The 15660-nt window shown below is 48.3% G+C and overlaps 1 protein-coding gene across 4 annotated transcripts in view, besides 1 other annotated feature; it reads right to left on the reverse strand.

Moving 5' to 3' along the window:
• The window catches only part of SCARA5 (scavenger receptor class A member 5), a 122791-nt gene that overhangs the window by 95569 nt on the left and 11562 nt on the right, over window positions 1-15660 (reverse strand). For 2 of the 4 annotated variants that reach the window (NM_173833.6, NM_001413202.1), the window contains exon 3: window positions 963-1091. The exons of 1 other annotated variant lie outside the window; for it this stretch is intronic. In NM_173833.6, coding sequence (NP_776194.2) covers window positions 963-1091 — 129 coding nt within the window. Of the gene's footprint in view, window positions 1-962; window positions 1092-11578; window positions 11676-15660 lie in introns of those variants that run through there. One more of the 4 variants, NM_001413203.1, reaches the window with a different exon arrangement.
• Window positions 11153-12037: an enhancer, noted in NCBI's record as "H3K4me1 hESC enhancer chr8:27834121-27835005 (GRCh37/hg19 assembly coordinates)". NCBI's record gives its function as "activates a minimal SCP1, AML or CMV promoter by ChIP-STARR-seq in naive H9 embryonic stem cells {active_cell/tissue: H9 hESC(naive)}" and the evidence as "EXISTENCE:reporter gene assay evidence [ECO:0000049][PMID:30033119]".

Raw genomic sequence — 15660 nt, forward strand, 5'->3', positions numbered from 1 at the left:
CTCTGTCACCATCGCATTGGGCTACACCCCATCACAGTGCCCGCTGCATTCTGCCTTGAGGCAGGGCTCTATCTGCATGACCCCCTCAGTTCCTAGGCTGGGAGCTCCTTGAGAGAAGCCCCTGGGTCCTATTTAGCTGTGCCCCCAATCTTAGCATGGAGCCTGCTGCAAGGCAGGTACTCATGTGAGACATGTTGGGTGGAAATAAACTGATCTCTCAGCCTTACTTGCGTCCAGTCCTACCTACCTCCACTGAGAAAGGTGGGAACTGAGCAGCCCTTCCTTTCAAAGGGAGTCAGGAGAAGACCACTACAGCCATCTGCTTCACCATCTGTCTTCATAGGGACTACCTATAGATGATGAGCTGGGCTGCTCACAGCTTGGGGCCAACAGGCTCCTGTTCCATCCCTTCTTGAGTCCATGAGCTCTCCTTCTCCATGGCTGGAGAACATGCTAGCCCTAGCCCATCGCCTGCCCATCTCAAAAGATAGAAATTGGTAAGGAGAGCCTGGCTGAATTGGGGCAAACCCATTCTACCTACAGTAACTGCAAAGGGCAGCAGGTTTACCAGGAAGCAAAGTGCCTCACAACTATTTTCATGGCACCCCAGGACCAGAAGCTTAGACAACGCCCAGCCTTCTCAGAGCAAACCATACCCCAGAGGCCCAGGGAGGCCCAGTGTAATGCACAATGCCCCACAATGATGCAGGAAAAGTCAGAAGCCACTCCAAGCAGCTAGGTCTCTACTGCTGGTCTCTTTGATTCCACAAGCTCACATAGCCCCTGCCAGCTACTCCCACGCAAAACAAGCAATACTACTGAAGAGCTTCTTCCTTCTTCCTCTATGGTTTCCATGGTGACAAGGGCAGTGTTTGGGCTCATGACAGTGGGAATGAAGAGTGGAAGCTCCAGGTCTTCCTTCCTCATCCCAAAAGACCAGGACAAAAATGGCCTGCTCTTACCTGCTAAGATGAAGATGCCCACAAGAATCAGGAAGACCAGCAGGTAGAGCCCCAGGACAGCATGCTTCAGGGCCGACAGGGACCCCAGCTGGGTACAGCAGATGCTTGCCCGCCGTTTGTGACATGGACCTGGACAATAAGGGTAAGAGGAGGAAGGAAAGAAGACACTTAAAAACCCCATAAGCTCTTTTCTTTTTTGGTCTCATCTCTCCCTGATGCATGCAGATGTTCATGTTGAACTTCTCACATCCCTTTTGCATGTCTAGAATGCAGCCACTTGATGGGGAGCTTTCCAGGACCATCACATTCAGCCTCTAGCTCTCCTCCCACTCTCTGTGTTCATGATCAAGCCAGATCACATGTCCACAGCTCACATGCTCACAAAAACCAACTCTTCTTGAGCTAGTCCAAGCAGCAGAAAGACCTTGAAATAGTCTTGGATATGTGGCTTTAAAAAGTGTCATTGTCCCATGGGATCCAGGGAACATAAAGAGAAATTAAAACAGGAGTTGCAAACTCAAACTTCTACAGTGGCTGGGAAGGTATGGGAATGAGAGAAATGGGCCCAGTGGGACTGTGGGGAGGCCAACGGCACGTGCCTGCTCTGGCAGAGGCTACTATGCAGGGATGAGTGGTGGGTGTGGCCAGATCCAGAATTTTCTACATCTATTTTTAAGGGTTGGCAACTAATTCATCAAACACAAAACACTGGGGAGTGTAAACAAAACACATCTGTAAGCCAGTTCTGACCAGCTTGCAACCTTGCATTTAGATTTGCTAGAAAACATGGTAACCTCATCCTGTGACACTCCTCAGCTTCTGCTCAAAATGGAACAGGGAAATATCCTTGCTGTAGTGGCCTTTTGGGCCATGTAATTCAACCCCTTTGTTGTACAGATAAAGAATGTCAAATGTCAGTTAGCAGCAAATCCGGCCCCAGGACCCAGGTTGATCTTTTAGCTGAACTGGTCCTTCAAGGTGGCCTTCTCAGATGGCCCATGAAGAGGCTTACTGATCTCCAGCTGCTCTGTTGACTGGAAGTGGAAAGAAGGGATCCTCTCCCTGATGTTAGCAGGGCATGTAGGAATCACTGGGTGGGGGCGGCGGGGGGACGGCATTTTTTTAAAAAATGCTTATCCCTTTAATGCTTGTTCCTTACCCCCTGTGGGTAAGACCCCTCTCCAGAAGGACTGTCCCCACTTCAAGAGTGTCACTAAGGCCAGGCACGGTGGCTCACACCTGTAATCCCAGCACTGTGGGAGGCCAAGGTGGGTGGATCACTTGAGGTCAGGAATTCGACACCAGCCTGGCCAATATGGTGAAACCCTGTCTCTACTAAAAATACAAAAATTAGCTGGGCGTGGTGTCGCGTGCTTGTAATCCCAGCTACTTGGGAGGCTGAGGCAGGACAATCACTTGAACCCAGGAAGCAGAGGTTGCAGTGAGCTGAGATCACGCCACTGCACTCCAGCCTGGGTGTCACAGTAAGACTGTCAAAGGAAAGGAAAGGAAAAAGGAAAGGAGAGGAGAGGAGTGTCACTAACTGGAGTGGGCAGAAAAAGGTTGTCAAGAGAGGCTAAAATAATTGATATTTAGAAAACATCCTGAAGGATAGTACCATGTTTGCAATTCCTTCATAGGTTCCCATTTGCAAGGATACCTCAAAGGTTACATATCGCCTCCCAGGTATCATTACTACCTCCTTGGCCTCAGGAGGTTTTATGACCACAAGGAAAATGGTGGTGACTATTGGTACCTTACGATCCACACTGCCCTGGTCCCCCAGAGGTATTGTTATATAAGGAACATTTTCTCACTCATTGACTTCATTTTATTACAAATACTGCTGTTAAACCAGCTAAACAGAGCTATTACATAATATTTCCATAAGACATTGGGTGCAGTGTCGAGCAAGTTGTCAATGACTATTCTCACTCATCCTTACATTAGCAAGTTTTGAAGAGTTGAGCTGATTTTCCGCTAAGACAAAATAGAGCACATCTTTCTAACTCACCCTAAACCTTTTCTGGGATTTTCCATCCTTTACCATACACTAGGCTCTACAAAGGGTTTTGCTCCTAAATATGTAGGCTCCTGGTAGCATTTCTTTTATTTTTTTCCTTCTGGTGAGAGCCACTAGCTGTCTGGTTGCAACTTACCAGAGAAAACTCTGTTCCTCTCAAGAGTCAGAGTAGGAGGTATAGCATTGAATAATATTATACAATTACTGGTTTCATTCTCATGGTGGTAGTTTCAGCTCTCCTGCTCTGAGCCCTGCTGTCTCCTTAGCCTCATGACAGAATAGGAGGAGGAAAATCACACAGCCGTGAACACAGTTAACTTCAAGTTTGCCTTTGTCATCTTCATATGTGTTGCTAGTTCACTGTAGGAGTGGGTCAATGTGCAATGATGTCTATTTTTTCCCCATTAAAAAGAATATTTCCCTTGCCCTCTACCTGAGGCTTCTATTTAATAGCAAGCACCTACTTGTGACAGGTGCCTTAGTCAACCAACACGCAGAACACAGACCTTCCTTTGAGAGAGTTTAGTTCTTTGAGCAAGACTTGGTTACTTTGTGCATTAAACCAAGTATATTTTAAATAGAACATAATGAGGGTTTCAAATAGAGGTTTCCCACAAATGGTTAGACAAGCAGAACATGAATGATCTGGCAAGGCCCTTAGAGAATGATTGCAAGGGAAAGAAGACAATTTAAGACAACGACAAGTCACAAAGGCTGCCCAAAACACATTTATGGACTTTTTTTTTCCAAGTGGCAGAAGCATGTTAGCTGGGTAAACCTTTCAAATTATTTAAACTTAGCAGAAGATTACAAACACTCCAAAATGATCCTATCAGCAAAGCCAGGGCAAAACGTATGCCTACTTTTTTGTTAAAAATAATTTTTTTAAAAATGCACTATCAAGCCATGACAAGACATGGAGGAATGTTAAATGAGTAATTAACTTGGTAAAATAAGCCAATCTAAAAAAGCTACATACCGTATGATTCTAACTATGTGATATTCTGGGAAAAACAAAACTATGGAGGCAGTAAAAAGATCCGTGGTTGCCAGGGATTGGGAGGGCAGGAGGGATGAACAGGCGGAGCACGGGGGATTTTCAGGGAAGTGAAACTCTTCTGTATGATACTGTAATGGTAGATGCATGCCCTTAGACATTTGGCCAAACCCACAGAATGTTCAACACCAAGAGTGAACCCTAATGTAAATGATGGGCTCTGGGAGATAATGATGTGTCAACATAGGTTCACTGATAGTAACAAATGCACCATTCTGGTGGGGATATTGACAGAGGGGGAGGCTGTGCATGGGAAGGGTGGCAGGCGGGGTATATGGGAATGTTCTGTACTTTCCATTTGCCTTTGCTATAAATCTGACACTACTATTAAAAAACAAAGTCTATTAAAAATAAAAGTAGAGCTTTTGACTTAAGGATTGTAGGGGTAAAAACTTTAACAGGCATTTATGGAACATCCACTGTGGAAAAGCCCCACTCTGGTAGCCAGCCTTCAAAATAGCCCCCACGATCCCAGCACCTTCTGCAATCAACCCCCTTCCACGTTGTACCAGGATTGGCCTGTGTGACCAATAAAACATGGCAGAAGTAATGGTGTGTCACTTCTGAACTGAGACCAAAGACATGCAGCATCCTTCTGGCTCACCCTTTCTCTCTTGGAACCTTTGTTTGAGGGGAAGCCAGCTGCCATGTCATGAGCGCCCACAGAGAGGCTTATGTGGTGAGGAACTGAGGGCTTTGGCTGACAGCCATGTAGGTGAGTGAGCCTCTAAGGAGATCCTCCTGCCAGGTCAAGGCTTCGGATGATGGCAGCCTGGCCAATATCTTTACTGCAACCGAGGTAGGAGACAAGATTCAACTCCAGAGGCAGAGCTCAGACACCAGACCAACCTGAGGACTAGCTAAAAAAGGGACGAGGCAGGAGCAGCTTTTCATAAGACACACCCACCCACCAAAGTGCCATGTTGTTTACCATTGCCATGGCAACCCCCAGACGTTACCACCCCTTTCTATGGCAATAACCTGACAACCCAGAAGTTGCCACCCTTTTTCTAGAAGTTTCTGCATAAACTGCCCAAAATTTGCATATAATTAAAAATGGGCATAAATAGGCCTCTAGAACTGCCTCTGAGCTCCTGTTCTGGTCACACTGCCTATGGGGTAGCCCTGCTCTGCAGGGAGCAGCACCTCTGCTACTGCCGTGCACTGCCACTTCAATAAAAGTTACTAACACCACCGGCTCACCCTGGAATTCTTTCCTGGGCAAAGCCAAGAACCCTCCAATTTTGGGGCTTGCTCCTCCTGCATCACAACCTCTTGAGAAAGCCTGAGCCAGGACTACTCTGCTAAGTTGTCCCTGGAGTCCTCCCAGATTATATAGACATATGTGTGTGCAAAATTTATCTGAAAAAATTAACAAAATTTTGGCTTTTTTTTAAAAAAAAACCCACTACTTCCTCAGAAACTGCAAGAGGAATACATTTGTTTTATGCTGCTCAGTATTAGGGTAATTTCTTATGCGGCAATAGATAACTAACACACTTATAATAGATGCTGGGGAATACAAAGATGACACACTGTGGGAAGGAGAGACTTTGTTAGCGTCATTCACTTCCAACTGCCCATCTCCCAGGCCACTGCCTGGCACATAGCAGATGCTCAAAATATTTGTTGAGAGATTAAGATGCAGCCACTGCCTTTCAGATGCAGCCTTGGGAGGGGAAGACGATGCATAAAACGGTAATTGCAATACAGGGAAGAATGAGGTTGGTGCGGAAGGGAGCGGTGACACAAGCAAAGTGCTCCCTGCACAGGTGGCGATGCACTCGGTGCCAGAGGTAGTCACAGAGTCTGCATGGAGGAGGCCACAATTCACCAGGGTGTGAAGGACAGCCCTTTCTAGATGGGCTGAACTCTGTTCTCTTTGTCTTCACTTCAGAGTCCAATGTACAGGACTTATAAATTTGAAAACAGTGACTTTAAGGAGCAAACAGTCTTCCTCTCTGTGTGAACCATCTGCAGGAAGTACCAGACAAAGCTGTTCATGATTAACAGGTTGTCTGCAGACACAAGCACACACAAGACCAGAGCGCTGGAGAAAATGGTCAACAACCACTACGACAACAACAGGAAGAAGAAAAACTCTCCCAAACTCAAACAGACTCATGGGAAAGATTCTTCCATTTTGCAGTGGCCTCCAGAAGTGAGGGTGGCATCTGGAAGGTCAGGAAGCCAAGAGGTCTAGAGAGGGCAAGGCCAGTGGCTCTGAGCAAATAAATAGAAATGAACAGTGACTTGCCAGAAGAGCCCAGAATGCCAGGCTGGGAGACGTTGTTCATCTCGGTGTGGAGCACGTGGCTGCTTGATGATTGCTGGGAGCAGCAGGTAGATGGTTTCTCCTCTGTAGGCATCCTCCCCTGCATACAGCCTGCACAATCTTGCCATAGCAGAGTGTCCCTGGGCTATTACTTTCTTAACATCACTCCACTTAAATACATTTAAACTTAAATTTCTTTGGAAGGAAACTTTATCATCGTAAGTGGAAAATTAGTATCTTCCTATTATACATTAAAATAGATACCTGGCTGGGCCCGGTGGCTCACCCCTGTAATCCCAGCACTTTGGGAGGCCGAGGCAGATGGATGACCTGAGGTCAGGAGTTCAAGACCAGCCTGGCCAACATGGTGAAACCCCGTCTCTGCTAAAAATACAAAAATTAGCTGGGCATGGCGGCAGGCACCTGTAACCCCAGCTACCCAGGAGGCCGAAGCAGGAGAATTGTTGGAACCTGGGAGGCAGAGGCTGCAGTGAACCAAAATCCTGCCACTGCACTCCAGTCTGGGCGACAAAGTGAGACTCTGTCTCAAAAAAACAAAACAAAACAAAACAAAAAACAAAACAAAAAAAAACAAAAAAAGTAGACACTTTAACAGATTTATACCTGTGTATCAGAGGCATCTTGAACACCACTATGCTGTATGTAGCCACATCCTGGGAAACACTGACTTTAATGAAAGTAACTAAGTCACAGTTCAGTGACATATTGCAAGAAGAAAGTTGATACACACCAAAGAAATTTCATTTATAGAGAAGAAAAACCAAATTTTAGATGTTCAAGTTTTAACATGGTTCAGGCCAGGCAGTGGCTCATGACTTAATCCCAGCACTTCAGGAGGCTGAGATGGGAGGATTGCTTGAGCTCAGGAATTTAAAACCAGCCTGGGCAACATAATCTGACCCTATCTCTACAAAAAATTTTTTTAATTAGCCTAGGATGGTGGTATGTGCCTGTATCCTAGCTACTAAAGAGACTGAGGCGGGAGGATCACTTGAGCCTAGGAGTTCAAGGCTGTAGTGAGCTGTGTCACCACTGCACTCCAGCCTGAGTGGCAGAGCAAGACCCTGACTCCCAAAAAGAGAAAAAAGTTCTAGAAGGTAGTATATTAAGAATTAAGTACCACTGAAAGAACCATGTCAGAACCTTGCATGCATCTTTCACACCATCCTCATTATCAACCATTATCTCTTTACCTCTCTGGCGACCCCACTAGTCTCTAAGGTTCTCTGAGGCAAGGTGTGTCTCCCTGTCAGCCAGTGAACAGCAAAGCAAACACATGTGAACAGTTATTTTTGTGGCAAAGACTGTCTATTACATTCGCCGTATGCAAATAATTGACAAACTCTAATTGGCTGGAAAAACACATTTTTAGAGCAAACTTTTGGTCTGAAAAAATAAAAGCTGGGGCCGGGTGTAGTGGCTCATGCTTGTAATCACAGCATTTTGGGAGGCCAAGGTGGGCAGATCACTTGAGGTCAGGAGTTCAAGACCAGCCTGGCCAACATGAAAAAACCCCATCTCTACTAAAAATACAAAAATTAGCCAGGCTTGGTGGTGCAGGCCTGTAATCCCAGCTACTCAGGAGGCTGAGGCAGGACAACTGCTGGAACCCAGGGGGCGGAGATTGCAGTGAGCCGAGATCGCGCCACTACACTCCAGCCTGGGTGACAGAGTGAGACTCTGTCTCAAATAAATAAATTAATTAATTAATTAAAAGCTGGGCTTTCTTTGCATATCCAGGGTCTCTGCTTGCTTCTTTGTGCCCATGCAGGTAAACTGTAGAAGCTAATCACTGGAACAGAATAGATACTTTACTCCTGGTTGAAAGTCAAAATCACACATGGAGCTTCTTAGTCATACCAAGGCCTGAGCCTGCCCCTGGATGCTCACTCTCTGATTCAGTGGTGAAATCACAGATCCATGGCACGGAGGCCACAGCTCTGCAGCAAGGCATTTGTCATATCAAAAGGGAAGGTGAAGACACATTCTTGGAAAGCATATGAAAAGTCTTACTATTATTAAGAGCTTGACTTATGGGGTGAAAAAAATTCCTTGATTTCTTTTCAATAGGACACATCGAAAATGGGGTTGTATCAAAAGATTGTATTATTCCTAGAGGTAAACATTGTGAAGACTTCCTCCTAAAACCGGGAGCAAGAATACCCCAAAGAGTTTTTGCTAAGATACTCTATCCTGGGGGTAGGGAGATGTTTGGCAACGGACATTAAAGAACAGGAAAGTTTATATAAAAACAACACAACCCTGGCACCCTGAGCTGAGGATGAGTAGGGAGAGGGTCCCCCAGTGTCAGGCTACATTGTGGAGAGAACCTTGAACCTCTACAGCCCTCTTTCCCTGTATTAAGCAGGCAGCATCTCTCACAGTGCTTCGGGGGAAAAGCATGGGTCTGGGGCTCTGTGGAAGTCAACGCAAAGCCTGCCTCTGTCATGCATTAACTGTGAGAACCATGAGCGAGTATTCCAGCAGTCCCCTTCATCAAAATGTCCTTTCCTTGAAAAACTAATATTTCAGTTTCTTAGTCATAATTTTAGAGCATTTTGGAGTTATCCAAATTTATTTCCCCCCTCCCATTTTAAAAGAAACTCACAAATTGGATCTGATAAAAATGAGTGTTTATTTCCAAAGAAACTGGCTCTGAACATAAAAAAAAAACAGAAGGCAATGATTCCATTGTTACCTCCTTGAGTTTTAACAGCAACAAACAGCTACTTTCTTCTTGTTGTCTTTGGTCCCACAGCTCATAAACAGCAGGTAGAGATAGCGTTTTATTGCTGGGAGGAACCTCAGAGCTCAGCTCATCCAAGGAGCTTTGTGAAACCCACCCAAGTCTGACTTCACAATGGTTACTCATCACTCACATTGTTCACTGTAACAGGCAGCCACAAATAACCTGTCTTTGAAGCTGCCACCACTCTCTGGCTTTCATGGGGACTCCATAGGGGAGGGAAGGAAAGTATGAAGCAGGGGCACTGCCACCGAGAGCCACCCACCTGAGTCCTGCCTGGAGTCACAGCGGACCCAGGGAAACAAGTCTCCCTGGAGCCTGGCAGGGTCCTCAACAACTGTGATGTTGTGAAGTCTATATCATCCTGGTCATCATCCTGAATCCTGGCAAAAAAAAATCTTCTAAAGCTCTTGGGATTTCCAGAGTCATAAGAGTGATTTTTGTGTATTCATGAGATGACTGGATCTGGGGACCCCTAGATCGCCTCAGGATGGAGGCTGGCCACTGGAATGACCAAGGCAGGATTAGAGAGTTGGGACTTTCAGCCTTACCCCCAACCTCCAGGAAAAGAGAGAGGCTGAAGGTTGAGTTGATCATCAATAGCCAGCGATTTAATCAATCATGCCTACATAATGAAGCTTCCATAAAAACCCAAAAGGACTGGGTTTGGAGAGCTGGATGTGCAGAGGTTCCTGGAGGGCAGAACAGCTGGGGAAGGCATGGAAGGTCTGCACCCCTCCTCCCAGACCCACCCTGTGCACCTCTTCCCTCTGTTATTCATCTACACATCCTTTGTAATATCCTTTTCAATAAACCTGTAAATGTGAGTAAAGTGTTTCCCTGAGTTCTAGGAAGCACTCTAGCAAATTAATCAAACTCAGGGTGGGAGTCCTGGGAACCCCGATTTATAGCCAGTCAATCAAAGGAAGTGGGTGCGGGGTGGGAGCAGTCTTGTGGGACTGGGCCCTCAACCTGTGGGAATCCAAGGCTACCACCAGGTGCATCGCATCAGGATTGAATTGAACCAGAGGACACCCAGCTGGCATCCGTTAGAGAACCCACTGCAGAATTGGCTGTTGATGGAGAGAAATCCTCATCGATTTTGGTAACCTGAAGTGAAGCATTCTGTGATGAGTGAGCGAATAGAAAAAAACATTTTGGTTTTTTTTTCCTCTCTCCAGAACCAACTGGGGTAGAGTGAACACCAGTGACCTCTGCCCTGCTGCATCCCAGGCCTGAGTCCTCAGGGCAGACGGCTCAGCGAGGGCACCCGGGGTAGGAGCCTGGTCTTCCACAGGGCCAGATGCACCCAAGCCTTTCACACCCACTTCTAAGTACAGGAGAGCACGGGAAGGAGAGACAGCCAGGGCTAATTCCATGCAGATTTTACGATGGTCTGGGACAGATTCTCTCAGTACTTTCAGAGATCTCTCCATCTTGTCACTTTCATACAATGTGTGTTATTTTTCCTCCACCCCCATCCATGTCCCAAGTTACTCTGCATAAAAATTCTTGAGAACAATCAAGGGTGTGTGTGCTTGTTTTTGGGAAGGGATGCCCGGTGTGCGTCTTCTTCCGCAGCCGGGGCTGAGGGGTGGAGAGAGGAAGCTGGGGGAGGGGAGGGCAGGGTGGCCAAGGTGAGCTGGGACACCACTGCAGCCATGCGGGAGAGAGCCTGAGAGCCCCCCAGGAAGAACAAGAGGTTCCTGGGGCTGGTGAAAGATGCCATTATTCACGCTGCAAATGCACAGTACACGGATTAGAAGCTATGCGGCATCAATGCAGTGAGACTCAAGCAGCAGGCTCAGGGTTCTGCCTAATTTCAGGCCAAAAGACCCTCCCCATACAGAGTGGCCCCAGCTCCTTGTTCAGAAGATTCCCAGTTCCCCTCCTGGCCCTTTGTCAATGACAATAAGTCCCTTAAAGATGTCTGCAAGTTGGAAGCCAGGTCTCAGCTAGTTCCATTTTTAAACCACTCCTCTTTCTGGGATGCTAATGCAACCTTCCGCCCACCTCCTGGGTCCACTTTGGTTTGATGAACTGGTTTCTTCTCTGGGCAGAAACAAATGAGTTGAATACACCTGTCTCACTCTCCCAATTCCTACCACCATTCAGTGGGAAGGGTGTCTGGCTTGGGAGACAGAAATGCTGAGAGCCTCCCCTGCCACTTGTAGAGGACTGAGTCATCCGTGTCCCTGAAGCCTCCAGCTCTGCTACTTACGCACGAAAAACACAGCAGGCCATGCCAGAGGAGGGAGCTCAGCAGGTCGGGGCAAAGAGGATGGGGATGAGGCGCCCTAGGACTTTGGGTGCTCCTCGAAAAACTCCTCCCCACAAAACCTCACAGCCTCACCAGCAGTTTCTGCCCTGAGGCCACCCAGCAGGATCGCTTGAGCCCTCAGTCCTGGCTTAGCCAGCCCCCCTGCCTTAGTCCAGGCTGCCACAGCAAAGTACCACAGCCAGGGTGGCTCATAAACACAAATGTACTGCTCACAGTTCTGGAGGCTGGAAGTCCAAGACCAAGGCACCGGCAGATCAGGTGTCTACACAGCCGCCCCACTCCTCACGGTATACTCCCATGGCAGCAAGAGAGTGAGGGAGCCGCTGGGGTCCCTTTTATAAGGGCACTTATCCCACCCACGTGGGCTCCACCCCCATGACCTAATCGCCTCCCAGAGGCCCCACCTCCTAGTCCCATCACTTTGGGCATTAGGATTTCAACATAGGAATTTGGAGGGGACACAAACATTCAGTCCATTGCACCCACAGAAAACCCAGGACTCCCCAGGCCCCCCCATCACCCACTGTTAATCCCAAACAGCTGTGTTTATCCTCCTTTCATGCTATCTCCCTCCCTGACTCCTGAAACCTTCCTGCATCTGCCACCGGACTCCCAGCGGATCAGCCGTGAAACCTCATTCCCTCAGCCTCTGCTGTAGGCGTTTCTTCTACTTTCTTGTTCTAAATGAGACCTGCTTCCTGCCTGCCTAACCTTTCCCATGAGGACTTTTCTTTTCCCATTCTCCTCATACACCAGTCATATGCCAGGGCGGTAGATGTTTCTCTTTGCTTCCTTCTAGAACTTTCCCTCTCCTTCCTCCCTAAAAACCCCCAGCACTTGTGTTCACTGTCATAAGACTTGACACTGCACCTCCCGGTTAAGAGCCACCTGCTCCTCCCCTCCCGGGATCCCTATCACTGCCCTGGCTCTCCTGATCCCCGGGTATCACTCCTTCCGGCCTCCTTACCTAATTCCAGCCTCCCTGGCCTGGGCCATTTGCTTCGAGCACAGGAAACATGGCTGGCCCAAGCAGGGATGGGCTCCGACTGTAAAAAACGCACTGGATTTTGAAGACTCAGCATGAGAGAAAAATACATAAATACCTCAACAAACTTTATAGCAATTACATGTCAAAATGATAATATATTGGATATACTGGATTCACTAAAGTGCACTAGTGTATTTCAGTTAGTTTCTTGTGTCTTTTGTTTTTTTTTTTTTTTTTTTTGAGACGGAGTCTTGCTCTGTCTCCCAGACTGGAGTGCAGTGGCGCGATCTTGGCTCACTGCAACCTCTGCCTCCCAGGTTCAAGCAATGATCCTGCCTCAGCCTCCCGAGTAGCTGGGATTACAGGTGCCCACCACCACATCCGGCTAATTTTTTTTTTTTTTTTTAGGAGAGAAAAGGTTTCACCATGTTGGCCAGGTTGGTTTCGAACTCCTGACCTCAGGTGATCTGCCCACCTTGGCCTCCCAAAATGCTGGGATTACAGGTGTGAGCCACCACACCTGGCCAGATTCTTGTGTCTTTTCACCTTTTAAGGTGGCTGCTAAGAACTTTAAAATTTCATGTGTGGCTCACCTTTCATTTCTAGTGGATTCTGCTGCTCTAGAAAGGCTTTTCACCAATCACTGAAATCTAAATCCCATGTTCAAGTGTCCCACTTTATAAGTGCCATGGCTCATCTTATTTATTTATTTATTTATTTATTTTGAGACAGGCTCTCACTCTGTCGCCCAGGCTGAAGTGCAGTGGTGTGATCACAGCTCACTGCAGCCTTGACCGCCTGGTCAAGAGATCCTCTGGCCTCAGCCTCCCGAGTAGCTAGGGCTACAGGCGTGCACCACCACATCTGGCTAATTTTTAAAATTTTTTGTAGGTTGGAGGTCTCTCTGTGTTGCTCAGGCTGGTCTTGAACTCCTGGCCTCAAGCAATCCTCCCATCTCGGCCTCCCAAAGCACTGGGATTACAGACTTGAGCCACGGTGCCCGCCCTCATCTTCTTAGTGCAGTCCCTCAGGTCTCTGACTCTGGGGTGCCCCAGCCTCCCACAGACCATGCATCCCACTGCCTTTCCACCCTCTTACACCCTCCTATCCTTGCTGGCTCTCTTATCCTACTCCACTCCAGGATCCACGTTATCAGGTAACACACTCCCACTCCTCACTTTTGTCTTGCTTCCTCACACTTGCACAGGGAAACTCTAACCCTGGTCAGGTCTAATTCCACCCACACAGTCGAGCACAGGTGGAAAAAGAAAACCACGCCCCTATGCCAATGGGGCTGATTTAAACTCAGAGCCTAAAGACCCAGGGGCACTGGCTATCCCTGGGCTCCCACCTTTCCCTCATCCCATCATCTCTCTTTGCCTCTCCCAGATGTGACTTCCCACTCGCTCCTCTTCTTCACTCTAGGTTTCCTATTTGACAGAAAAAACAGAAGCACTGCTCAGAGCCCCAAGGGCAGGCCCAGGAGCAGAAGCAGACATACTGAAGGGACGCAAGGGTACTCTACCCTAGGACCTCACATTTTTGGGGTGTGGTCTATGTATCCATTTGGAAGGACTCAATGTGGAATAACTCACGTAACCCTTGCAAAAGCGTATGAGCCAGGCGCTACGGGTTTCCCATTTCTTAGAGGAGGGGAAGATGAGGATAAGAGCTTGTTCAAGTTTTCCCAGCCAGCACTCAGCAGAGATGGGGTGTGAGCCCAGCCTGTTCAACTGCAGAGCCTGCCTGACTTTTTTTTTTTTTTTTGAGACGGAGTTGTACTCCGTTGCCCAGGCTGGAGTGCAATGGCATGATCTTGGCTCACTGCAACCTCTGCCTCCCAGGTTCAAGCAATTCTCCTGCCTCATTCTCCCAAGTAGCTGGGATTACAGGCACACACCGCCACGCCACGCCTGGCTAATTTTTTTTGTATTTTAGTAGAGACAGGGTTCCACCATGTTGCCCAGGCTGGTCTCAAACTCCTGAGTTCAGGCAATCCACCCGCCTCGGCCTCCCAAAGTGCCAGAATTACAGGTGTGAGTCACCATGCCTGGCCCCAGAACCTGTCTTTTTAAGCACCACACAAAGCCATCCCCACAACAGAGAAGGTGAGACTTCAGCACTTTAGACTCAGGTATCAGAGCCGAGTGAGGCTGTGTGCGGGTCTGCACCAATGACGTGCCCACACCCTGAATTTCTGGCCCACTGAGTCACATTTAGGTAACCTTGCACTTGAGCCAGCCTTGTGCTGGTCTGCAGTAGGAGGGAGGAGAGAGGGGAGGACAGACCAGCTAGAGCGATGGTAAATTGCAGAAGTCATGGAGCCCTATTTCACACCTCTTTGTGCCCCTTGCTGCACACAGCACCTGCAGGATCCCTGAATATATTTTGCTGGAAGATGAAGATGAAGAAATGAATGAATGAGCAAGCAAGGAAGCAGAGGCCAGGAGCTATGACAGCAAGGTCTGTGGTGAGGAGAACTGGGGGATGCCATAAGGAATAACTGCCCTGGCCACTCATCACCCCCTCTACTCCAGGGATTACCAGAAGCCCACCTGCCCACCCAGGGCTCTGTCCTCACTGCGGGCCTCCTTCAAGCCCATCCACTCCAGACTGTACCAGGCTAGTGGGACATGTCGGTGGCATCCCCCTCAGACCCTCCTCACTGCCCCCATCCCTAGAGTAATGCCACACAGGAGATGGCATGGCCTAGGGCTGGGGCTTTGGCTGAAGACAGAGAGGGGATGCTCCAGGCCATGCCCGTCTGCATGGAAAGGCGCCCCTGGTGCCTCTGTACCCCCTCCCTCCTCTTCCCAACGCCTCCTGGAAACAGCAGCCTCTACCCTGAGACAAGGAAACACATCCCTTGGCTCTTCTGGTAGCAAACCTCAGGGGGCCCCTGGGAGCAAAGTGCCTCCAATTAGGATGATGAAGGGACAGACACACATACGCCATAGAATCAGGAGCCCTCAGGGCCCAGTATTTCTAATATTCGAGAAACAGGACTAAAGGAACTTGCTCAATTTCCTGGAGTATCTAGGCCTCATGAGAATCCCACTAGTAACCAGAATGTTGCTTTCTTCAGCAGAAGGCCAGGATCAGCCCGAAAACACTCTCCAGGCCAGGGTCCCTGAGAAGGGGCATAGGTGTTTCCTGGGAGTCCCTGGGTGGCAGCAGCTCCTTCTACCTCCTCATCTCTCCCTCTCCTTCTTCCCCACCTCTGCAAGCTTTGCAGGGGACTCCCAAAGACCAGGGAGGGAAATAAATGTGGATCGAGGGGCTACTGTGTGCAAGGCGCTTTACCCGG

This window comes from Homo sapiens, chromosome 8 (genome assembly GCF_000001405.40).
Source record: "Homo sapiens chromosome 8, GRCh38.p14 Primary Assembly".
Lineage (NCBI taxonomy): Eukaryota > Metazoa > Chordata > Mammalia > Primates > Hominidae > Homo > Homo sapiens.